General features: G+C 35.8%; 1 protein-coding gene and 1 long non-coding RNA gene across 7 annotated transcripts in view; one reads left to right on the forward strand and one right to left on the reverse strand.

Annotated features, from left to right (window-relative positions):
* The window catches only part of PTPRK (protein tyrosine phosphatase receptor type K), a 551,815-nt gene that overhangs the window by 59,829 nt on the left and 464,184 nt on the right, over nt 1–27,802 (reverse strand). The window lies entirely within an intron of this gene.
* Nucleotides 1–27,802, forward strand: part of PTPRK-AS1 (PTPRK antisense RNA 1) — a 58,429-nt gene that overhangs the window by 749 nt on the left and 29,878 nt on the right. The gene's annotated exons all lie outside the window — the stretch shown is intronic.

The following is a 27,802-nucleotide window of genomic DNA, read 5'->3' on the forward strand; positions in this document are numbered from 1 at the left end:
TATTTCATGTTTAGGCACACTGCATGAAATTATTACTTCAACTATCAGGTTCTTTCACAATTCACAACTTCTTGAGAGCATGGAACATATCCTATGTATTTTTAGTATTTTCTCAATGCCTAGTGTAAGACATATGGCAGAGAGTAAGTGTGCAACAAAATTGTGTTAATATTCATATTTTTCATAAGTGAAAACAATTTTTTTGTTGATATGATGCTTTGATGGTTTCTGATTTAAGGTTAGGATGTTAAACGGACTCTATTTTTACATGACCATAATTCTACTCCCCAATTCTGTTCCTAAATCTTTAGTGAGCTAAGAATTCAGATTCATGGTAAGGTTAGAATTGTGCTGGACTGCTTGTGACTTCAACTATCCATCTTCCATGGTCAGTTCTTGATCAACTGATACAGTTTGGGTGTTTGTGCCCTCCAAATCTCATGCTGAGATGTATTCCCCAATGCTGGAGATGGGACTTGGTGGGAGGTTTTTGGTTTTGGGGGTTGGCTCTCTCACGAATGCCTTGGTGCCATCCTCACAGTAATGAGTGTTCTTGTGAGATCTGGTTGTTTAAAGAGTGTGGACCTTCCCTCTCCTGTCTCCCTCTCTTGCCAAGTGATACATGGTTCCCCTTCACCTTCTGCCATGATTGTAAGCTCCCTGAGGCCCTCACCAGAAGCAGATGCCAGCACTACGCTTCCTCTACAGCCTGCAGAACCATGAACCATTTAAACCTCTTCTCTTTATAAACTACCCAGTCTCTGACTGCATGCAGTGGCTCACACCTGTAATCCCAGCACTCTGGGAGGCTGAGGCAGGTGGATCATTTGAGTTCAAGACCAGCTTGGCTAACATGGTGAAACCCGATCACTACTAAAAATACAAAAATTAGCTGGACAGGGTGGCGGGCACCTGTAATCCGAGCTACTGGGGAGGCGAGGCAGAAAAATCACTTGAACCTAAGAAGCAGAGGTTGTAGTGCCAATGCACTCCAGCCTGGGTGACAGAGTGAGATTCCATCTCAAAATAATAATAATAATAATAATAATAATAATAATAATAATAATAATAATAATCCAGCCTCACATATTACTTTATAGCAATGCAAGGACTAACTAACACACCAAATGAAGGCCAAATTTCTTACTTTGCTTACTCTTCAAAATACTTGTAAAGCATCATGATCCAGATGTGCTGGAGATTGAGGATGAAAGATAAAAGAAGAAAGAATCTATACTCTCAAAAATATCACTGCTTAGGTTCCCTAGAAGCAGAGCCTAAGACAAGGATTTGGATGCACATGATTTATTAAGGGAGTGTTGTCAGATGAAAAGGAGAGAGGAAAGTAGGGTAGGAAAGGGAAAGCAGCTAAGTGAGAATGTGGTATTAGCATAAGTCTAACTTCAGCCTGATGTCACGGGGAGCACTAGAGCATGAATTGCCCCAGAGTTGACCTAATGAAGTGAGGGCACTGGCTTTTTGTATTCCCCATGTCAGTTAGTCATCAGATATGAGCTGATAGTGCTGGGAGATGGGCACATAAGGTTTGGCAAAGTAAATGTTTTTCAGCTACAAGTGATTCTGAAGAGAAGTGGGGGCTGTGAGCCAATAGCAGCTAACACTGACGGAAACTGGGCATTTTACAGGCTTGGTAAAAGGGATCTGGCCAGGGCACCAAAGGTGACTAAAGTCACAGGAAAGCAGCACAACCTCCAAGTGACAACATACTCCGCTCTTTAAAAAAATATAAAGCAGCAAGGAAAGAGGCATTTTGAAGGGTAAAAATCATAAGATTTATAACTTAACCAGCAGTGTTTCTAGCTCAATCAGCAGTTGCTCATATTTATCTGTACATCCTGACATTATCTGTAGACGGTCCTTAAAACCTGACTCTTCCCTTAGCTGTGTCCTGTAAGATATGGATATTTCTTAGTTGCTGTTTCTAGCTGTGCATCTTGAAATTGCATTCTTGGATTATTTTAATCTTATCAAAGCCTTTATATGCGTGACTCTGACTGAAAATGGAGGGCTTCTTCATTTCCACAGAACAACTCCTACCTGGCTGATCAGATAGCAGCTGGATTATTCTTTTAAAAACAGTTGATTCTCTGTATAAAGCTTGTGCACATCAGGCTTGCTTTTTTTCCCCCAAGTCAGAAATCAAGTTCAAGAAGAATTTCAAGCTGACATAAAAATAATTCCCCTCAAAAGTCTAAAATGTCATTCTCTACAGCCTATACTAAACTTTTCACATGGAAATGGTTACGAACATCTGAGTATTGCATGATTGAACCATAGCATTCATTTTTTTCCCCAGCAAATATTTATTAGACACTTACTAGGTTCAAAAATTACACTAAATGACATGATAGATAAAATGATTAAATCAAATGAAACTTCAAATTTGAAAGAAATACTGGACACTATCACATCTGTGAAACTTTTATTAGCAGTAGAAATTTAAAAAATAAAATCATACGTAGGGACCCAATATATGAAACACTGAGAGCACAGACACAGTAGCTGAAACAGAAATAAGATACCACAGCCTTGAATGCTCTGACTTCATTTTGCCCCACATTCTTGAAAAATCACTCATTCAAGTGCATTTATAGTTTGGGCAACCTAGATTTGAACAGGTGATTTGGCTAAACGTACACGACTGCTTTGTAGAACCCAGGTCATCCGACACCAAGCTTGGTACATTTTCTTTCAAACTGCAGCTAAAGATATACTTCCCATCCTCTGGCACTTTGCACTTTGTTTGAAAAGAAAATAAATGTTCAATAATGATACAAATTGCATGACACTAATGCTATATAAATGCTGCAGAGTAATTTACATAAGACTGGGAAATGTGAAATGAATCATTCACAGAAGAAACTGATGAAGTAATTTCAATGTCTACATAAAATTTCTCAGTGTTTCATGTAAGAACAGACTATGGTAATTATCTTTTGTTGTTATTGTTGGGGAGGAAAGTAACTAATGAGTAAATGACAAATAACCAAACTCCAAATCAATTTAAAAAAAATCAGCTATGCTCCTTTCCCCTAACAACCCAAATACTTCCAAATGTTTCTACAATCAAAACTGCTTGGGCTGGGCTTTATTTATCCTCCCTTCTTTAGCCTTCAATTTGTAGATCTTGAACTAATTTAGAACAGTTTAAAGAACACCAAAAGTTAAGTGACAAAGACAAAGAGATGCACTGCCTCCTACACTCTTTCCCTGTAAGAAAAACACTGGAACGGTCCAGTGACCTGTCTGAGTCAGCATCCTCAATCTCATGTCCTGTCTTTCCTGCACCCTCACCCTGTGTCAGGGTCCTCCGGCTGTGATAAGCTCCCAAATTGCAAGTGTCACAGGCTTCAGTGGACCAGTGTATTCGCAGTCACAACAGCAAGGACTTGCTGTGGAAAGAAGGTGCTATTTGAACAGTTCAAGTGCTTCTGGTTTGCTGTGTCTGCTCTGATCGCAAAATTCTATCTGATTTTGACCTGCGACCTATCTCTAATGTCCAGCTTCTTGTACAACGCAGACTCCTGAGGCATCCTCGGGCTGCTGCCTCTCACCTTCAGATGCCCTTTGAGCCCTGCCTCCTGACTTAATCTTCCCTTCCAATCACTGCTGGTTGGTTTCTGCCCCACCTTACCCTCTTGCTTCTGGGCTCTATGCTGTGTTTTTCAGCCCCTTTGTGGTTTTCTTCTTTCTGGCATCTGGTTGTGTGTGAAGAATCATGCTGCCTGCACTAGTTTAGCCAGTTATGCGGTTCAGATCAGCAACAGGAGATGGGTTATTCCGTTAAAGGATTGTAAAGGCCACAGCTCTAATAGCTTCAGCTCGCCACACTTCTAGGAGAGAAATTCTAAATTCTGATTATAGATAATCCAGGAAATTTTAAATCAAATATATGAGTCATTATTTATTATGTGTTAACAGCCTATACATTTATTGTAACCAGATATAAAAAGTCAAGTAAACATCGCATATGAACTGTCAACTTAACTGTAAGGGTGAAAACATTCCCCTCTTTAAGAAGGATGAAAAGATGCAATAATTCCAGCTTCCAAGGATGAAAGGCCTCCAGGGTTTTGTAGATTCTACATTTTAAAAAATATTTTAGATCAATAACATGAAGAAAGGAGTCAGTAGCACCTGTCACAGACACAGACATGGTTACTGAAGCAGTATCAGCTTAGTGCATATTATATCATATGTCACTGCGGGAATATCAGCCACGAGAAGAAGAAAAGCACCCTCAGGACAATATTGCCTGGACCTGACCCCAGATCTTATTTTCTTGAATGACAGATATTTTTAAAAAATCATTTTTGGTAACCCAGAGGTACACCCCAAGCCAGTTCTAAATTACGTGATCTTCCCAGGAAGAAAGCAGCTGTTTTTATGTCTGAATAGCTGATAGGAAGGTAGGTGAAGATACTACAGGGCTCTTTGGGAAGTTGGTAGGGATAGATGTAGGAAATCTAGGAGAACATGCTTCTAGTATTTCTAAATTTTTTTCTAGTTGGTTATACTCCCTGAGTAATAACTTGGAAAAAGCGCTACTGATTTTGGAATATAAGGGTAGCACTTGGGGCCTGGCACAAACGACAGAACTAAGCTTTTAATTTGACAGTGGATTTTATTGGAGAATATCAGGAGATACTGAGGTATAATGGATACATCTTGGCAGAAAGTGAAAGTTATTGAAGTCAGATTTAGAGCATGAAAATCCAGCTGACAAATCTCTCATTCCAAAGAGTTTAGGACTATATTCAAACTTCATGAGATCATAACTATCTTCACAGTTTCCACTGCCAGATTTCTGAGGATTTTAGAACAGCATATGTCTGCTATTATTGCATTCAAATAAATTTTTGTTTTATTTTACTGATACATGGATTTGAAAGTCAAAGGAAATGGTGGCTTTACATTTAATGAAAGCTTTTGTGTTTAAAAGGTAAAATTGGGGTAGCTGAGCACAGTGGTGCATGCCTGTGATCCCAGCACTTTGAGAGGCCAGGGTGAGAGGATTGCTTGAGCCCAGGAGTTTGAGATCAGCCTGGGCTACGTAGAGAGATCTAGTTTCTACAAAAAATAAAATTGTTTAATTAGCTGAGTGTGATGGCTTGTGTCTGTGGTTCCAGCTACCTGAGAGACTGAGGGGGGAGTATTTCTTGGGCCCAGGTGGAAGCTGTAGTTAGCTATAACACTCTAGCCTGGGTAACAGAATGAGACCTTGTCTCAAAAAAAAAAAGTTAAAGTAGGGGATAAAAGATGAATTTCACAAGTCAGGAATAGTTCAGTACACAACATTGGGTTTGATTAGAGTCCTCTGAGTGCCAAAGAGGATGCGGACACCTCAAATACCACTCATATTTCTATTCTTTATATCTTCATACGAAAAGATATACTTCGGTACACTTAGGACCATCTTCTTGAATCCAGACTGGTCCTCCAGTACAAGCTGTACCTCTTGTCAATAACTGTGTAGACTAAACCGTTCTCAAACTTACATTATTATCATTATTATGTTTTTTATACAAAGGGCAGTACATTCTTTTCACCAGAAACATCTATGTGCACAGTTAGAGGGATTAAAGTCTAAACACCTGTCACCATAGAAAAAGGCAGCTAAGGCAGCCCAATCAACTTCTCCCTTGTGTTTTCAGAAATAAACCAACAACATGATAGAAAAGCTATAAGATGTATTCAAATCGATGACCAATTTTTGATTAGCAGCATTTCAACCACCACAATGTTTAATACAACTTCCCTTTGCTAAGGAAAAAGAATCCGTAAACTCTTCTTTGAAGAAATATACTTGCATGTTTAACAAGCTGTATTCATTCACACATTTATATCTTCATGCAGTCAGTACAAAATTATTAAATATACACAGTACTGTAAATGTTTTGGTTTAGGGACTGATACAGGGGGAAAAAAATCAAAAGCAACACTCCAAGGTTGTAAACCTATAGTCCCTTTAGATTTATTAAGTAGGCCATCAAAGAAAAAATAAGACTGTTAAAGTTTTATAATTTACAACTTCTCTTTGGAGAATGGAGTAGTTGTATGAGACAGTTGTTTTGGTTTGTTTTGTTGTTAATTTGAAAAAGAAGGGTTAGACAATCAGAAGTAGGTGTTCAAGATTTGATGACTGAAACATCAATTGGTGTTATGTCAAGTATATAAGTCCTTAATAAATACGTGTGGATTGTGTGAAATGTTTAAACTGAAAAGTGAAAAATCTGTTAAAGATACACATTTTAAGTAATATGAAATGTTTCACAGCAATGTCAGAAAACATATTACCAAGGAGAAAGATAAAAGTGAAACAGACATGAAAATTTGCAAACTACTTAGTTTACATCCATTTATGCTGGTTAAAGAAAATTTAGACAGTGGTCATTTTCTGATATTTAAAATGTCTTTTTATTCAAAAGATGATGCAGATTAAAAACAATTACATTGGCTGGGCACGGTGGCTCAAGCCTGGCAGCCCTTTGAGAGGCCGAGGCGGGCAGATCACTTGAGGTCAGGAGTTCAAGACCAGCCTGGCCAACATGTTGAAATCCCGGCTCTACAAAAAATACAAAATTATCCAGGCGTTGTAGCAAGTGCCTGTAATCTCAGCTACTTGGGAGGCTGAGGTGGGAGAATCGCTTGAAACTGGGAGGCAGAGGTTGCAGTGAGCTGAGATTGTGCCACTGCACTCCAGCCTGGGTGACAAGAGTGAAACTCTGTCTCAAAATAAATAAATAAATAAATAATTACATTAATGCTCTTTTTATCAAAACATTACTGAATCCTTCGCTGCTTACTGCCAATGTCATCTGGACACAAAACGACAACATGGTAATGATACAATATAAGGCAAGTTGGGATTTCACCTTATGATCTGCCACTTGAAGATATACTCATAAAAATATATCATATTTCCAAGTGTGGACATATCTGTATTCTATTTTAGGAAACAGAAAAAAAAATTCCAAGTTTCTATTTGCTCATGGAAGATTGAGAGCAAAATCTTCTACAGAGCCACCAGGGACAGACATTACAAATAAGAAGTGATATTGAAGGTAAAGTTCTATAGCAATGGTTCTCAGTATAGCAGATAGTGCCTTCTGGAGGCATCTAGGAAATGTGTAGGGACACTTGGGTCTCCCAGTTAGATTAAGACTCTATAATATTTAGTGGGAAAGGGCAGGGCTGATAGACATCCTGAGATCTACAGGACAGTCTGCATAATTAGTAGTTGCATTTGGTGATTCTCAGAATAGTGGCAAACATCAGAGTATTCTTTCTGTCTTCTAATGTGGTTGTGTTCAACAGTTTAGGCAATAAGCATATGTTTTAGTTCCTTTAGCTCTTTTTAATATTAAAGTTAGGTAACTTTGGTTATCTTTTGAAATTACGTATGTTGGTAAATGGAATGGAATGGATTTTTCTTTTTCATAGTACAGAGGGTCTTACAAACAGTTGTTATATTTGGGGTCTGAATAGGGTTGGGAAACCTCTGTTCCATAAGCATGCCTCAAAATATGAGAAAGAGACACAGGCAACCAAGGCTTCTCCCAGGGCTGTGAGAGAATGAGCCCAATAAGACTACTGAGTTTTATATGGATTCATACTCCATTGTAGCTATATTGTCTTCATGGGAGCAGCTACACCCAGGAGATGTTTTAGAGACAAAATTTGGTCTTATGGATAACCAAATTGTAAGATGGTTGCTAGCAACAGAGTTGTACAGAGAATAGTAACTTTGTAGGTAAGAAATGATAACAACAATAAAATAATTTGTTAAGAGAAAAAGTGATAATTATTAGCCATGAGCAAGAGAGAAGATAACCTTCATCAATGGAAAAAGGCAAAAAAAGGAACATGGACAAGTACTACGATGTGAGTGTCCTAAAATTAATACACATATCTTACTCATATTTCCATTCTTCAGTCTATGTTTAATAACACTGCAAGTACTTAATAAACTAAAATACTGAAATAAATAAAGAAAATAAAGAGTTGGTAAAAAAATAGATACATCAAAAATTGTAAAGGAACCTACCATTCATCCTTGATCATTTTGAAAATAAACGAACTGATTTCTTTCCGTCTCCTCCCTCCTTTTTTTTTTTTAAGATGGAGCTTCGCTCTTGTTACCCAGGCTGGAGTGCAATGGTGCGATCTCGGCTGCAACCTCTGCCTCCCGGGTTGAATTGATTTTCCTGCCTCAGTCTCTGGAGTAGCTGGGATTACTGGCATGCACCACCATGCCCAGCTAATTTTTGTATCTTTAGTACAGATAGGGTTTCACCACGTTGGCCAGAATGCTCTTGAACTCCTGACCTCAGGTGATTTGCCTGCCTTGGCCTCCCAAAGTACTGGGATTACAGCCACAAGCCGCCGCTCCCCGCCCTCCCTAACTCATTCTTTTAGTTGTGCTTGGGTGCAAATCTGTTCACTGTGCTGCCACCTCCCTCGCCTTTTTCCTTTGGATTAATCAGATTTTTCTGCCTGTTCTCAGTCAACAGGACTACATACTTGATCTCCAGACTTAGGCCTCTGTCATTGAGAGACTCTCTTTTAGAGAAACAAGAGACATTATATACTAAGTCATTTGAGTCATCCCAGATTAAGACTGAATCAATTTAAGTCTCAGGGGTATTTAAAACTGGATTCTCCTATCCTGAGATTCCTCCACTTCCTGCAGAAAAGTTAATTTAGGTCATTTAATGATATCCTGCACGATGGGCAACTGTGCCTGTGAATGAAACCACACAAAAGTATGATGCAAATATGGAGCAAGTCAGTCCTCTGAGAGAGTTACCCAATTGAGCTCTCTTGGAGCCTCCTAGAACATCTGCCTATCAAGATTTAAGAATGCATATCTTAAAATAATATTTACAAAATCAGATCTGGAGTTTATTATTCACTTAACATCAAGACATTTGGGAAATAAGTCTAGCATTATTAGAATTTTACTATGTATTTATTTCACTGAAGTCTTGATTAGTGAAAGAAAAATGGAGCAAAACCCAGTCAGATTTGGAGTATCTGCAGAAAACCTCTTAGCATCATGTCAGTAAATAAATTTTGTGCTCATGACAACAGATCAGGGAGATGTATACATTACTGGTTATTTGGTTAAATCTAAAACTGAATTCTTCTAAAACTAAAAAAAAGGAAGTAATCCTGAGTTGAGCAATGTATAACATTCTTCTATTTGTCCCTGTAATAGACTCCTTAGACAGCTGTACATATCATGGTGAAATTTAACATTATTTTTTAAAGATTTTTAAAACAATTATTATATTGAGAGTAAAACTGAATTTTTCACTTTAAAAATTTTCATGTGGTTTTAACACTGATTTTCAAAACCATATGTTATTTATCAAAAAACAGTATATATAGCTTAGATGTTTCACAGCAATGTGAGAAACAGGCATCATAGTGAACACTGAAAAAGACTTCTATCAAAACATCTGGTAAGCAGAAGTCAAACTGAACTTAACTGGTAATACGCATATTTATCTAACTTTTTTTTCTAACTTGGTTATATATCTTGGAAGAGATGCAGCAATTTTTTTTTCTAGGAGAAATTTAAAATACTAATGTACTTTATACACATTTTTTATGATTGTGATGACATTTGTCTTACTGTCATTCTTCAAAGCATTATGCAAATTTTAAAAATAGCAACTTTAAGTTAACATTTTTTAAAAAAATTATCTTAGTAGTGAATTTAAAAATATTCTTCACATTTGCCTCTACCAACTAGCTTATCTAATGAATCTCAATTTATTTGTATGGCTGTTACATATGCTTTCTTCCACTTTGATTATTTTGACACACTTTACTTTTTATTAAGAGCAAAAAGTACAGTTCTTATAACTTCTAGAGATACTGCTCCACTCAATGACAATGTCTGCAGAATTCTGAAATCAGAGACTGTCAGTGATTACAAAAAAGCCTATCTTAAATCAAGATGATTTAGAATCTACTGCAGCTCAGGAAATGCGACAGGACCACTATGCACTTAAAGACATTCCAAAGCAAACTAAAGTATTTCCAGGCTTTTCTTAAGGAGCAGCCATCAATAAAAAAACTTTAAATGTTTGATTTTTTTCATTTTTCAAAGTGCAACAAAATGCACCACACAAGTTGAACAGTTAACTGCGTTTGTCTCTTCATTCTTCATGCAACAATTTTACAACTGTCTCTTCATTCTTCATGCAACAATTTTACAACAAGCAGTGTTATCATTAACTGAATCATGTTATGATGAAACATCACAAAATGTTAACCATATCTGCCCATCACATAAGCGAAACTTTTAAAGACTGGCACTAATTAGTAGTGATAAGGATATGGAGAAATAGGTATTCTAACATATTGTTTGGAATGTAAATTTGTATAATTATTCTGAGGGTGATTTGGCTGTAATTATTTAAAATGTATACATATTATATGACCTGACAATATTGCTTCTAGGAATTTATCCTATAACAGAGAATGTAAAGATCTTAACCAAGGATGTTAATTGCATCATTGCATGTAATCCCAAGAAATCTGAATAAACTAAATGGTCATCAGTATAGGAAGGATTAAACATATACTCATGCTATGGAATACTTATATTTTCTTACTTGAAAATAAGTCCAAGACACTATTTTAAGTTCAAAAATGCAAGCTTCAGACCACTATTTTAGGATAACAATTTAAAAAACAGTGTATTTTTCTATACTCAGGTAGACGTAGAAATACAGATAGGGTCTATGTTCATAAATAAGTCTGAAAAGAAATGCCCACATTAAGTAAATATATAACGAATGCCAACTGAAATTACATACAGCAAAGTTTCTATTTAAAACACAACATTGGATTAGTGATTTGTTTTATAAAACTGGAATCAAAAAAGCCTATATACATTTTGGATAATCATATACTTGTTTAAAGGAAGTATTAGTAAATTCTAAATTATAGGAAATCTATTACTTGGACTGTAAATATTCTACCCAAATGAAAAGTGAAGCAACTTCTTCCAAAGAACGTGTCTTAGCAGAGCTGGGGAACTGTCATGAGAAGGGTCACAGCTCATGATTTAACACAGATGTGGCCAATGTCTATTTTTATCCCAAGCCTGCTCTGCATAGTAACTGCATACAGGTGTGATGCCTTCCCTCCTACAACCCTCTTCTTTGGAGCACAATGTCTGATTTAGTGCATTACAGACAGGAAGCACATAATACTTTCTGAATGGATGGCCAATAGTCCCAATATTTAGCGCCTGGTGGAAGAGTTAGGTGTAGCAAATTAAGCAACTAACAAAGACATATTCAAGGGATGGTTGTTGTTACCATGATGATGTGAATTCTAAATTTAAAAAAAGCAAATTAATAAAGTGGTTGCTGTTGTTATCATCGCTAAGAAGTACTGTGCTGGGAAAGCCAAGAGAAAATGCCTGAATTAGATAAGGCGAAATTTTAGCTACATACTTCTTAGGAACTTCAATTTTTATCCTCTGTTTTCCTTCTCTCTATTAACATTTTCTTATTTGCTCTAGTCTTTAGACATTCTTAGACCACCAACAATGAGCCACATTTACTTCAAACTGTCTCCACAGTGGCTGAACTTGTCAGAAAAATAATAGCTGCATAATACAAAGCAGTTTTATTTATTTTATTTTTTTTAAATAAGAGTCAAAACCAAGATGATGGTGATCAGGGTGAATAGAGGAAAGATGTGCTAGGACAGTGAAACCATCCCTACCTCAGATGCATAGCCCAGTTGGGTTTTCACCTGGGAAACAGCAGCAAATAGATCAAGAAAGCAGGAGGTATACAAGAACCAGGAAGTTTCCTCAAACAAAGGGCAAGACTGGAATTGTAAGAGGCACAGATGCAAAGCCAAGTGCTGTGAACAACAGCAGCAGCCAGCAATTACAAGATTGTTTGAATTGAAAATATGGAACATCTCTCACATGAACATCTCTCAGAAAGAGTAACATTGTTAACGAAAAGATAATCTGTATTTGTACGTAAGGGTTAGTAATACTCATACTGTAAGGCTCTTCCTGCCACTACTAACGATATACAAAATGTGATGAGTATCACTTTGTCACCTCTACCATCATATTTGCAAGCACCTGAATTTCTATATTTTGTTAAACAATGAAGAATATAGAGTGTCTACATAAACCAAGCAGAAATGATAACCTCTTTACCAGTTAATACAGAATGAGCTCTTGAATACAGAATAGGAAATATAAGAACTGGAACAAGATTCCAAAATTAGAAGCTCAGTTGAGATCTGTGTCAAAAACAGGAGGTGGCAAATCTAGAACTATGCTGATGTTTGGGGTAAAATTCATTTTCTCTGCCTGCAAACTAAAAACACAATAAACTACACATGTGTTTCAGTATATGGCATTTTTTAATAACCCATTTTTACAAAATTTAAGATATTTTTATTTTAAAATGAATTAAAATTTCTCCATGATTTTTGTAAGATCAATAGGGGTTACATAATTTATTTGAGAAAACCGATCACACAAAAATTGATTTTCTAACCTAAAAGTTTTAAACACATAAAACAAACTCAAAGAATATCATATTCTATCTTTCCCTCCTATGAATCACACATAGTGGTCACCATTCATTCAAGAAAGATCCAATTAACTTTCTACTCTAATGCATTTATTAAATCAGATAGATAATCTTTGAAGTAATCCACATTTCATTAAAAACTGAATGGAATTCATAATTTCAGTCACTACACTGATAAAGGATAAAGAATACTTTGTTTGTCTATAATAGGGCAATAGTCATAAACCAATGCTCTATAACACTCTGCAAATGTGCTTCAATGAGGCCAAACTGGATTTTAATACTTTTTCCCTGCAATTGGATAAATATAGAAAAAAGAGGCAGAAATCATATTACCATAATACTGCAATAAAACTAATGTAATCCTTTTCATGTAGAGATTCAATATAAAGGTCTGTTTTTAATTGCTAAGTATAAAAATACTTAAGACTTTTCTGTAGCATTTGCTACTTCATAATCAAAGTGAAGTTTGAACTGCCACTACATATAGATGATAATATCAACAAATTATATATTATATATGTATATATATGTGTGTATATGTGTGACTGTGTATGTGTAGATATACAGTTTTATATATCTATAGTTTTATAAAAGTGTATATATATGTAATACACATTTGTGTGTTGTCTGTGTATATATAGCTATATATATAGTTTTATAAAAGTGTGTATATATAATATACATTTGTGTGTGTGTCTGGAAAGGCTACACCTTCAACATTGCTTGGAAATCACCTTACCTCATATCCAAATTGATAACTTATAAATTTGGCTTTCCCCAGAACTGCACAATTCAGCTAAATTTCTGCCACCTAAGAAGAAACCCCTCTCCTCCAGTTTCCAATATGTCCTTTATTTTCTTCTGCACCTTTGCCACACACACTTTAACATTCGTATTTCTAACAGTCTGTTGAAGGCAACCTAGGCCGCGTATCATATGCCTCAAAATTCTTCCAAGCTTCTGCCCACTGTCCGATTCCAAAGTCATTTTCATGTTTTTAGATATCAATTACAGTAAGACCACACTTGCAGGTGCCAGAATTTGTATTCATTAGGTATAAGTGCTATAACAAGTTATAGCAAATTTGTGGGTTAAAACAACACAAATTTATATTTTATATATTTGAGAGATCAGAAGTCATAAATGAGTCTTATGGGACTAAAATCAAGGTGTTGGCAGGGCTTTCTTTTTCTACAGACTCAAGGGAGATAATCTGTTTTCTTGATTTTTCCAGTTTCTAGAGGCTGCCTGAATTCCTTGGCTCATGGCCCCAGTCTTCTTCAAAGCAGGCCATTCCCACTTTTGCTTCTGTCATCACATCCCTTCTCTGCCTTTGATTCTGCTACCTCACATGTATCAGCACTCTTGTGATTACACTCGATCTACCTGGAAAATGCAGAATAACTTTTCCATCTCAAGATCCTTAACTTAATCACAACTGCAAATTCTCTTTTTCCAAGGAAATTAACATCTTTACAGCATCTGGGGATTAGATGTAGACATCTTTGTGGGGGGACATTATTCAGCCTATCACAGAGGCCCCAACCAAGAATTATCATGATTACAAATAACTTATCTATTTGATAAAATATTATTCTCTAGAAATGTTAACTGGCTCAGTTTTGATTGACAGCATTAAAATAAAGGTTGTGAGGGGGAGATAATGTCATTATCAAGTATTTTGCCATCTTTGCTCTGACATAAATGTCTATGAAGGGCATTTATGAAGTTACATGGGCAGTAGTTATTTCCGTTTCATTAGTCACTTAATGCGACATTCCTAGAATTAAAGGCAATAAGTAATTTAGACTTTACTGTTGATATTATTTGAAAAAAACTCTAAATTATAAAATTCTCCCTAATAAACAAATGGCATCCTCAGTTTGATGCTATCAGTATACTCTATCAAATAAAAATCTCTGGCTTGTTCTTTAAACACATTAGAGAAATTATTACGATAGACCTCTGGTAATTATATACTCATATTATTCTTGTTGATATGAAAATAGGGATTGAACATATATGATCATTTTAACTGATGATTCTACATGGACAGTGTGAAATAAATGTGGTGCATTGAAAAAAGTAGAGGGAATTGATTTCTGTTCCCACACTTTCAACTGTCTGTACTGCCTCAGAAAATCAAATCATCAATAAACATCAGTCTTCTCATCCATAGGAAGAGGGCATTGACTTAGGTCAAGGATTCCAAACTTTTTAGTATGAAATCATTTTGAAAAAGAAATATGAAATGGAGTATAACTATTTTATTAATAACTTTATAAGTTTAAATTCACTTATGACCAATATCATACTATAAAGCCAATCAGTGAAAAGAAGTGTTCTAAATTTGAAACCAAAGGTTAAGAAAGATGGTTGCATAGGGTTAAAAATAATGCATTTTGTTGCTTGAAGGGGCAAAAAAAAAAGAGAAAGATAGATGTGATATTATAGAAACTATTTAATGTACTATTTGTTTGCATGTTATCAATATATAGAATCTGAATGTTATTACACACTATCATCTCAGTAACTAACATTGCAATTTCAAGTTATACATATAAAAGAATTAGAAGAAAACTTTTTTTTTACATCTGTTCAGGAATAAAGAAACTTTATGGCAAAATTTAAGGGACCATATTTTTTAGTATTCTGTATATGACACATTTGTGTATTTAAGCACTGTTTTTTAATTTTAAAAATAGTTTATTACAAAAGTAGGGCAAATGCTTTTGAAATCCCTAAAATGCCTACAAAAGAAACTAGGAAAATATTTGGAATATATAATGCTAAGTAACTCAAACTGGAAAATTTGATAATTCTATTTTCTAATAACAACATATTTTTCTACTATATCAAATCCAACATTTTCAATCCTCATCCTATCTGGGAAAGAAGTCATAGATTTCAACTTACTTAGATTTCAAAGAGCTTATTTTTTGCACAATGTCACAAAACCAAATGAAATAGCAAACTCATCCACTTAGTCGCACATGCCAAAAACCTATCATTCTTCATTTTATTTTCCTTCCTACATTACATTTAATCTATCAACAAGTACTATATATCTGTATCTAAAAGTATTAAATACACCCATTTCTCTCTCATGCCACTTCCACTCCCTTAGTCTTAGCCACCATTGTAGCAGTATGTGCTCTAAACACACTCTGAGGAGCTTACAATCTCTTCTCCATGGAGTATCCAGAGTGATCCTTAAAAGCACAGATCAAATCATGATTCCCTGTTTATATGCTCCAGTGGCTCTCCTTCACACTTAAAACACAAATTCTCTACCATGGTTTACCAGGCCTTCATGATCCTTTCTATTCCTTGAATATCTAAAGTTTGTTCCAACATCAAGGCCTTTGCATCTGCTGTTCCTTCTCCTTGGTAAGCTCTTCTGGCAACTTATAAGACAGGCTAATTTTTTTTTTTCCATTTAAGTCTCAGCTGAAACATCAACTCAGTGAGGATTTATCCGAAATCCTTTCAAAATTAGTTTTACTCAGGAAACTCACTCAAAATCACATTATACTGCTCTTTTTTTCTTCACTGAATTATGTATCAAAACTTCAAAACTATCTTGATTACTTAATTTGTATATATGTGTGTGTGTATATATATATAGTATACATATAGTTGGTTTCCCCATCTGAAATATAAGCTCCTTGAAGTGATATGTCTTGTTTACCATTTTAATGCTGTCATCTAGAATCATGCCTGGTACACAGGGAGTGTTTAAAATTTTTTGTTGAATAAATGAATAAATTTGTTGGGGAAAATCCTCATATAGCCTGTCTGTTACAACTTTTCTGCCTCTGCTTACACCCAGTCCCAGTTGAAAGTTCAGCTGACTTCTTAAGATGTAGATGAGAATTAATGACTTCTCAGAAATTTTCCACAAGTCATCATCGCTGTTCTTGAAAACTTCCTATCTCTTTAGTAGAATACTTACGTATAGTATACATACTTATATTACACACACACATTTTTGAGGTATTTTACCTAGACTTTACTTTTTTCAGATCTGTTTATGTGTCATGAGTTGGACCATAAACTTCTTGAAGTCATGGGCTTCTATATCATTTCTTTCCTCTATTTACAGTAATGACAATACTCTCCATCTAGTAGGTGGAGGCAAGGTTAAAAAATCAACTACTTTTTAAACCTATTTTTCTCACAAAAAGGTGAAAATTAATGTAAGATGTAATAAAATTAAGAACTCAGGTAAAAGTTTTCTTCCTGTATTTTGTCCATTCTAAGAGGGTATGTGGGGACAGGAGCAAAAGCAAAGGCAGAACTTCTATTCATAAACATTTTATCTTTTTCTGTATTAGATTAAAAGAAAAATGACCACTCCACATTGTTTCTAAATTATGTCAATAAAATTAAAATATGGCAGGAAAAAACACTGATACATCTTCAGGGCATTGAAAAGAATAATTATGAATTATTGTACTAAATAATATTCTGAATAACAATATTAATTAATTCAGCCATTCCAAAGAGATTAATACATATCTTTTAAATATCAGGCACACACAATTATAAGGAGGTTGATACCCATACCCTCATGAACTTTACAGTCCAGTCCATCCAGACAGTTCTTCATTTCAATAAGAAATTTCTGAATAATTAACAATTTGACCACTCGTTAGCCTTTAAATCCATTGTGGTAATATAACATTTTTATTCTACTCCAGTTTTTCAAAGGCAAAGAGAGACTTTAGCCTTGCAAACAGGTTGAAAATAATCTATTAGCTGTTAATTTTTTAGTACCTTTATATTGAAACAAAAAAGAATTTATAATGATAAGGATGTTGACAGAAAAGCAGGAAATATTAGTGCCTAACAAAAGTCAGTTCTAAGTCATGAAACATTGATTTTTCATTAAAATTGTACTTGTTCCTGGCTTGGCTTCGCTTAGATATGCTTTCATTTCCCTCAGGCTATAGTCTATTACTCTATTACTAATATACTTTTCTGTAATTTCCTCCCTTCTGAGTTCAGGAAAAGAAAAACCTTAAATCAGATTAATTTTTGACAACTTGTGCATAGATCCAACAGGCAGGAAGAATGATACACACTTGCTCCCTTGCAGGAGAAAAGAGTGTGATTATCAGCAAGAGTGCTCAGGCACTCAGAGGAAAAACTACAAAATTCTGCTCACTGATTACAAGTTTTCAGAAGGGCTAGCAGCTTTCCCCAGGCTAATTCCATCCTAGGGACCAAGAAAAGCCACATCCCTGCCCAAAGTTTCTGAATGGCTAGGCGAATCTACCACAGTTGATCCTAACTTCCATCCCTTTAAAAAAAAGTGGTAAAAAAGTATCTGAAAATTTATTGCTAATGTTTTCCTATTTCCTTCAACGTGCAGCAGACTAAAAATAAAACATCTTAGTACAATTTAAGAAATTAAGACTAGGATTTCAGGCCCTGAAGCCCATTTAAATATAGATTTTTTTAAACCCTTGCTTTTAAACCACCCTCCACTTTTGTAAATTCTGTGAGGGATGAAACACAAGAGTGCAATTTAAGAGTGGAGATTGTGGAGTTGTTCAAGTTCACCAGTGGTGACTCTAATGGAAATGAATTCAGTCAAAAAGTTTCTAAACGCATGGAGTACAACCAAATGGAGCTTCCACAGTTTTACTGTAACTTCTTGACAGATAAACTGTTCTTTTTCTTCTCATGTTTGTTATTTTTGAATGTCTGTCACTTACAAAAGCATTTCATCCATCTGCACAGAGAAAAGGGCACCAATGAAAGATTTGACAAAGGCAGCATCAGACAAAATTAAGATTATGAAGAAAATGCTTTTAAAAAAACAAATTCTTCATCAAGTAATTAGTGAATAGACCACAAAAGAAAGAAGAATGGAGAAATTAGACAAAACATGATCAGTGCTGGTATGTCTTATGCATTTGGATTTTGGATAAAATCTTGCATGTACTTCTACTCTTTTGTAACAAGTGATTGTTTCTTAATATTGGAATACATGTTTAAAGTGCAAGCTAGCACTGAAGTCAAAGATTTTTAGAGGGAGTGAGGAAGGACTTATATCATCATTGCTTACCATAAGTAATATTCTGAGTAAATAATAATCTGACTTAGACATTCCCAGGATATAAACATACAAAATGAAGAGGTAAACTCCAGACTATATGAATCTTTAGTAATTATACATCAACTTTAGGTTTATCAAACAAATGAAAAATGAATGCCCACATGTATACCTTAGCTTTTGGAATTTTTTTCTTTCCATGGCTTCTAGGGATACTGTCTGTTACTGATTTCCAGCTATATCTGGTGCCAGTGAAGATAAGTTCCACCAAAGTACCTATGGCAAGGCAGTCAAAGTGTTTTCTGGTATTTTAGACTGACACCAAGAAAGAGATTCACTATTTTAAAAATATCATGGTAATGATTAGGTTACATGAACTTTAAGTGCTTTCTTGCAATCATTTGTGAAATACCTGAACCTTTACACTACATATTGGAAACTAGCCACTATTTTTACTAAAATTCCTAAGGGAAAATAAAAACTTAATATCAGTTCAAACACTATATGCTGCAAATAACAGATTACCTACTAGTAGTGATTTCCATAATGACTTTTTTTTTTTCAAATACAGATATCTAAAATTAAGGAAGTCCAGCAATGGATATCTGAGAACCTCATGGTTGTTAGGGCTCTGAGTTGGCTAATTTGTTTAGACAATATGGCTCAACTTTCTGAACACCATATCCTGATAAAACAATGCCCCTAGGTAAAAGGGATGAGTTGGGGGTTGTCCTTCCCACCTCTCTGTTTATAAATCAGGAAGGAAAACATTTCTTTGAAGTCCTACGTTCTAAGAAGATGTAGCCTTAGATCTCTCATGCCAAGATAGGATTACATCTACGACGCTAAACCAATCACTGGCAGAGGGTGAATGGGACTTGCTTAGACCAGTTGTTGACCTGACCAGCAGTGTCAGGGGTAAACTCATTAGAAATGCAAATTCTTGGGCCTCTTTCCAGGCCCAGTGATTTAGAAACTGTGGAGTTGAGGCCCAGCAATCTGCTTAACAAGCCCCCAAGTGATTCTGACTTAAGCTTAACTTTGAGAAGAGCTGATTTAGAACATTCTAGCTCATCCCCTGGATTTGACCCACCTTCTCTGAGCAGATAAGGAAAAATTCTCCTCAAGGTTCCGCATATGTTCCCTCTGCCTCTAATGCTCCTGCCCTACATGGGTGATGCCCTCATTCCCTTCAGGTTTCTGCTGAAACATTACCTCACCAGCGAGACTTTCTCTGATAACTGTATATAAAGTAGTAATGCCCTAGACACATTCTTCCAGTATTTCCTATCCCCAGACCCTTTATTTTTCTTCAAAGGATTTATCACCATTTGCCATGCCACATACAGTCAGCCCTCTGCATTCATGGGTTCTGCATCCGAAGAGTCAAACAACCACAGACTTACACTGTATTTGGTATTATAAGTAATCTAGAGATTAAGTATACAGAAGGATGTACATAGGTTACAGGCAAACACTATGCCTTTTCATATCAGGGACTTGAGCATAACTGATTTTGGTATCCTCGGGGTCCCGGGACCAGTCCTCCTTGGATACTAAGGAATGACTGTACTTATTTGTTTGTGTTTGGTCTATTTCCTTCAACTAGAATTTAAGTTCCATAAAAGCAAAGGCTTTACTCTATTCACTTTTCTATCCCCAGGGCCTACAACACTGTCTGGTATACTATGGACATAAAATAAATATTTGCTATAGAAATATTGATATCCAAATGAAATCAGAAATCAAAAAATGGCTCATGAATAGACAAGAAACATTATTAAATTAAAAAAAACCTCTTTCACCATAAATACTATGTTCAAATAAATTTACCTATATTAGAAATTTTTCCATTCTATCAGATTTCATAGCTTTTATCTATGGAAATGTCAGGTTTTTTAAGAAATAGATTTGACTAACATACAAACTTCTGCCAAAACTAAATGCTAAGTAACAAGGTTTGTTCTAAAAAATCCAGAAGTTCACAGGATGGGAAAATTAGATACAACCAAAGTAGTTTCAAAATATAAACTACTTACATAAACAGATTACAATACTTGCAATTTCCCATACCATTGGTTTTGTTTCTTAGTTTTAGTCTAAGGATTATTCAGCATCTTGATTTCTTATCAATGCCCGCTTGCTTTACTTTAAGAATAATTTTATGTAAACAAGTACATGGTTCCACAAATAACTATTTACATATTGAGAAAATTTTAAATGACATAATATGCTAAATATTATTAAATAATATAAAATAAAAATTCAATTGAAATGCCTCTTTTGTTAGTTTAATATGGATAAAGCATATTTCTAGTGAAATACTTTTAAAGATTCTTTAAGTAAATTTTAATATAATTTATATATTTGCATGATTCAGCACATTTAAATCTAACCATAAAAATGTTACTTGTTACGATAGTTTCCTTAAGAAACAAATAATCGCAGTATAAATTCTTGATGGCATCATGGCACAAAATTCTTAGCTGCTAATTTACAAATACTTGTGTGCGTGCATGAGGGTATAATGAATTAGGGCACTTTATAAATTACATATACAAAGATAGGCCAGGTGCGGTGGCTCACGCCTGTAATCCCAGCACTTTGGGAGGCCAAAGCGGGTGGAGCACCTGAGGTCGGGAGTTCAAGACCAGCCTGACCAACCCGGAGAAACGCCATCTCTACTAAAAATACAAAATTAGCAGGGCATGGTGGCGCATGCCTGTAATCCCAGCTACTTCAGAGGCCGAGGCAGGAGAATTGCTTGAACCCAGGAGGTGGAGGTTGTGGTGAGCGGAGATCACGCCATTGAACTCCAGCCTGGGCAACAACAGTGAAATTCCGCCTCAAGAAAAAAAAAAATAGATAGAGCAAATCAATATCAAACAATCTCAAACAGTATTTTTTCAGTAGAGAGAACTGAACCTAAAGACAGTGAGCATGCAAGTTGCACAATGATCCTGTCTCATTGTACAAGTGACTCTCTAGTGTTGCTCCATGTTCTTAATGTATCACAGACACCTTCCTTGAGACGTATTCTCCTTTTTGCTTTCAAATATACAGCTAACCAAATTCCGTTTCATATTTTAGAACAATTCTGGTTTTGAATAGGCTATTTTATAAATGGAAAGCCTTTCTTGATTTCTAGTACAATTGAGATAAACTCTTCCACTCCATTCTTGAAGCATATCTTCTCAGTGACTTTATTTGTCTCAACTGCAATGAACATAACTCCCAGGATATCTCTTCTCTTGCATCATAATATGTAACCACATGACTATTTATTTTAAACATTATGATGCTGATTATTTAATTCATATGTTTAATAGTCAAGCCAAGGTCTTTATTCTCTTTATGTGCTGGCTGCCACCAGAGATACAAGGCAGGAAACAAACTATTACACTAAGCATTTTTAATTTTTAGTTTAAGTTTTTATAGAAATAGGTCTTGTTATATTGCCCAGGCTGATCTTGAACTCCTGGGCTCAAGCAATCCTCCTTCCTCTGCCTCCCAAAGTGTTGGGATTACAGGCACGAGTCATGGCATACAGCCGATACTAGGAATTTTTTAGAATGATTTTTACACGCTGAAAAATTTTCAAAATGATGTTATTTCAGTATGTATGCTAATTGTTCTTAGATTTAAATTCTTTCACATTGTTCTTCAAGAATTTTCAAACTTTTAAAAATTTCCTGGTCTCTTGTTCCACATCTGATACTTGTACTCTCTGCACAGGACTTCATTTAATTTGTTTAAATGGATAATCTAATACACTTCTCAATTTTTTCTGTTGGTGTCACTTGTCCATTTGCCCTCACAGGTTCAATTATTCCCTATTGTTTTAAAAGATATGTTTCTGCATTTGTTCAATTATATCACTGCCTACTTCCTCTAGAAATGTATTCTTTCTTATATATATTCAATATTTTTTGCTCCATTGGTAGGTTTCCTCTGATAAATAAAATATGCTCCAGTCTCTACCATGCTTAATAATTCTTTCCTAAATTAAAGTCCTAGCAATCTCCTTTTTATCAGTAATGTATTTCTGGAAAAGAAAGTCTCCCCAACCACTTTATTTTCTCAGCTCCAGTTCATGCTAAAGTCTTGCTTCTATTCGCTATCTTTTTGCCCAGTCACTCTAATTGAATGCTCCCTTTTCTAAACTCAACCATAGACATCCCAGTTTGCAAACCCAGTTGCCTCTTCTCATCCTATTTTATTTGAGCTTTCCATGCTGCTTAAAATATTAACTATCGTTTATAAGCCCCTTCTTGGTATATCTTCCTTTCGTCAGTGTTGTGACAAGGCACTCCACTGGTTATGCATCTTTCGATCCGGTTGCTTCTATTCTAGCTTCTCTCCTACCTCACTTTCTTCCTCCTACTGTCTCAAGATGGGTATCCTGCAAGGAGCTCTCCTCATCTTTCTATATTATCTTGTTCATATGTTTTTACCACTCCCAAGTTCTAAGTTCTCTAGTTCCAGACATTCTCCACACTTTTATTTCTAGTTTTTCCAATTACATTTATGTTAGCTATTTTTTGGTACCCTACACTTGGCTTTTCCAAAATGGCATAAATCATTTTTTTTTTAATCTCAGCCTTTGTTTCTAGTGTTTTCTGTCTCTGTGACTGACATCACATCTTCCTAGTGTGGTTGGCTCAGGACAGAAGTTCAGCATCATATTTAAGTCTTCAGCTTCCTTGTTCACAGCAGATACACACCAAGACATGTTAACTTGTACTCCACCATCATATCCTCCATATCCTTATTTCTTATTCTTTAATGTAATCACTCATCTGCTCCCCATATTTTAGTATAACAGCTTTAAAATTCACTTATATGTTGGAAAAACACACAAAGTTACAGAAAATTTGCAAATACACTACTCCCTTGTTTTCACTTTACTAAGCATGAAGAGTAAGTGACTGCCCTGATGCCTCCATTATCCAGAATACTTTAGTATTTCCCATAAACAAGGACATTTTCCTATAGATCACAAAATGACGTTCAAACTTAAGAAAATTAACTACTGTCTAAACTTCAGATCCCATTCAAAATTCCCAATTGTCCTAATGATGTTCTTTGTATCTAAATGATCTAATTAGTTATATTTAGTTGCTATATCTCTTTGGTCCCCTTCAGCCTGCGCAGTCCAGCCTTCCCTTCACTTTCAAGGCCTTACGTTTTTGAAAATTATAGCTCAGTTATGTTGTAGAATATCCTCAATTTGGATTTGTCTGATATTTTAAATGTTTAGATTAAGGATATACATCTTTGGTTGGAATATCACAAAAGTGATGCTGTGCTTTTCTTGCATCCTAGTGGGAAACCATAATGTCTTTCCCAACATGGATACTGTTCACCTTCATCATTTGGTCAAAGCATCTGCTAGGCTCTTCCAATGTGAGGTTAATCTGTACCCTTTTATAATTATTAAGTTTTTGGGAGCTACTTTGAAACTATGTAAATACCTGGTTTCTCATCCATCTTTCTCTATTTATATCAGTAAGGACTTGTGCTTTCCTATTTTATTCAGTGTTATAATCAATCACCATCTTTATTTTGATTCTCAAGTAATAGGCCTCTAGTTCAGCCAATGAGGGGCCCCCTTGAGGTTGGCAATTGTGTCCTCTTGCTATGCCCTCATTATTTTTTTAGCGCTTTCTGGCAAATAATAATAATAATCTAGTTTCATGTTGTACTTTCCTTGTTCCAGCCCTGGAATGAGCCATTTATCCAAAGAGCCCCAGGTACTTTTATTGGATAATGGTATTTAGACACCAACATCTGGATATTAGGCATATTTTCCATCAGTATGTTGTTGCTCCCAGGCTGTCTCAGTGGACTATGTGTATGGAACACACACACACACACACACACACACACACACACCCCTATACACACAGTTTCACCTGTGTTTTTTAACTTTCTCCCTGCACCCCCACACCCTGCCACACACGTAATCTCTGCCATCTCTGCTGTCACCTCCTTCCCTGTGCGGCTGTGCTCCTCACTCCATGCAGACTCAGGCAACCGGCACATGATCAACCTCTGCCTGGAAGTTCACACACCTAGACTGATAAGGCTCTGACATGCTGTATGGGCCACCCTCTTGCGTGGACACCCTCTTAACCTCCCTCAGAGTCTGACTCCCCACCCCCAAGCTCTTCATCTTGTTTGGATTCTGATACCTCACACCATGCTATGCGTCCCTGACAAGTCCCCTTTTCACCACACTTGGGCTCTGATTTCCCAAGGTGGATTGCCTACTGTGTTGATGTTCTACTCACCCTAGTTGGGCTCCAAAACCCCAACAGTTCACCTCCACATGTGGACACTCTACTCCCTGCTCAAGCTCTGACTTCCCACATGGGGTTGTGCCACCCACCGTCCCCATGAAGACAAGCTTCTGAATCTAACTGACTTCTGAAATGCCACACGAGGCTGATACTCTGTGAGACTGCCTCCTCCATCCGACTCAGGCTCTGACAAGGTCTGTGGGACCACTGCTGCTGCTTTCATCTCTCACTGGTGTGGGTCCTACCATGCTCTGCCCCACCCCAATGGTTGTGAGATGAATTTTTAAGGAAAAAAAGGGAAGAAAAGAGAAAAGGCTGAGAAAAAAGAGCTACACCAGGCTTTCAGCTTGTTTCTTCACCTCTACTATTTAACTGCATCAATCTAACATATATGCTATTGAGATTTTTTTTAACCCAAAATGTTACATATAGCTGGGATTAACTTGCTTTCACTTCAAAAACTTTCAGTGATTTGCTGTTGCCTTTACAATGCAGTTTGAATTCAAGATGCTGTCCAATACCAACATAAACTTTCCAGCTTTTATTTCCCTGCATTGATATGAATGAGACAGAAAACTTTTATTCTTTAGATGTAAAGCATGTTTTCCAGTCCTATAGCTTTTGTTCTACCTAATTACTTCTAATTGGATCATCTTCCCTTTCATTTCCAACTGTCAAAATAATGTCCATCTTGGAAAGTAAGATTTAATGTTACTTCCTCCATAAAATTCTTCTCTTAGCTTCTCCACCATAAGCAATTATGAGTAATAGTAATAATAGCAATGAATTATAAGTATGTATTAAAAATGTCTCACATGTACTTTACTAGAAATTTCACATCTATTATTTCTGCTCTTTTGTTAGTTCTGAAAATTAATAATTTTCAACTCCAATTCCATTTTATATACAGTAAGAAAACATCAGCACAGAGAGTTCAGATGACTTGTTCAAATCCTAATAGCCAATAAATAGCAGAGGGGGGATTTGAATCTAGAATCTAGTCTGAATCCAAGGCTAATGCTATTTGCAGTGGGACACAAGCATTGCTCACTACACTTTTCCAGCCACTTTGTCTTTTTTCCTTTGAACATAGCACATTTGTATCATACTTTACTTAAGTTTCACATATTACTTAAAAGAATACAAACTCCTTGAAGACAGATTCATTCATGTTTAATTTCATATCCCTACCCTCAGAGAGCCTTGACCATGGAGAACACTTAGCACAGAGAAGAATGAACCACGGACTAGGGGTCAGGAGGACCAGCTTATAATCCTGCTTTGCCACAGGTCATGAGGATATGAAATGACACTTTAAATAGACCCTTAACTTCCCTGATCCTAGGATTCCATGTTTCTAAAAGGCTGTGGTGGTGACTGTATGACTTTTATTTCTATCCAAATTAAACCCCTGAGTTGTTTGATTTAATAAAGAAATAAATAACTTTAAACATAAGAGAGTTAAAAAAATCCTATCACATCCATCTTTCTCTTTCCATATATTTGAAAGTTTTTTGGCACTTTCAATTTTAAGAAACTATTTCATTAAAAAGTCAAATTTGATCATTATCTTTAGAAAACTGAAAAGTTACAAAGTTTATTTTGACAAAGAGCAATTTGAATTCACTTTTTCCAGTAAACAGCCCTCAAAGCACTTTCTAAAGGACTCAAAGAATAAGAAAAACATACTAAAATAATAGCAAAAATTAAAAAGGGGTAGTTTAACCTGAAAATGATCTACAACCAATGTATATAAATGAACTGGCCCTGTGATACTTGTTTTGATATTTATAATTTAAATATGCTTAAGACCTAAGTAATGGTGTAGAGTTGGATATATTTTTTCTATTGGATTATAACCATTCATGAATTTGGGGTTACTAAATTCCTTAGCAGTGTCCTTTTTCATTTATACATTTTTTTTCTATCTCCTCTTCATTTTCTTAATGTCTTTGTATTCGCCATGATTATTGCCTAAACATTTCCTCCATTGCTTATTGTTTTTTGTTTTGTTTTGTTTTGTTTTACAGACAGGGTCTTGCTCTGTTGCCCAAGCTGGAGCGCAGTGGAGTGATCATGGCTTACTGCTGCCTCGAACTCCTGGGCTCAAATGATCACCCTGCTTCAGCCTCCCAAGTAATTGTGACTATAAGTGTGTGCCACCATGCCCAGCTAATTTTAAAAGTTATTTTGTAGAGATTGGGTCTCACTGTGTTGCACAGGTTGATCTCAAACTCCTGGCTTGAAGGGATCTCTTGCCTTGGCTTCCCAAAGCACTAGGATTACAGGCATGAGCCACCATGTCTGGCCATGCTTAAAGTGTCTTTAAATTTTTTCTGGCTCCCTTACCAGAAGTGTCCATTATTCAGAACATAAGCGCTTTTTTTTCTTTTTCTTTTCTTTTTTTTTTTTTTTTTAAATCTTGGAATTAGACTTGTGTAAGCCCCGGCAATGTGGCCTTTCTTTTCCTTTCTTCTCCTTTTCTTCATTTAGATTGTTGCTAATAGTGAGCATAATACTATGGTTTTGGAATGACCTGTGGATGCCTCTGTGAAGCTTCCACTTTGTTTTCCCCTCCCTCTTTCCTCTTTAATTTCTCTGGTTTTCCAGCTTTTATTCAGCACATAGCTAACGGTTAAGAAGTAGTCAATGAGAAGGGCCTAAGGTCAGGTTTTTAAGGGGCCTAAGGTCAGATTTCTATACTTACTTAAACTTCTGTTCAATGCTATATCTACTTACCACCACAATTCAAAGACCTCACGTCATCATGTATTTTTATTCCTTAATCTTTCTGTTGTTTTCTTTATCCATACCTGAACATACCT

Source organism: Homo sapiens, chromosome 6 (assembly GCF_000001405.40).
Source record: "Homo sapiens chromosome 6, GRCh38.p14 Primary Assembly".
Lineage (NCBI taxonomy): Eukaryota > Metazoa > Chordata > Mammalia > Primates > Hominidae > Homo > Homo sapiens.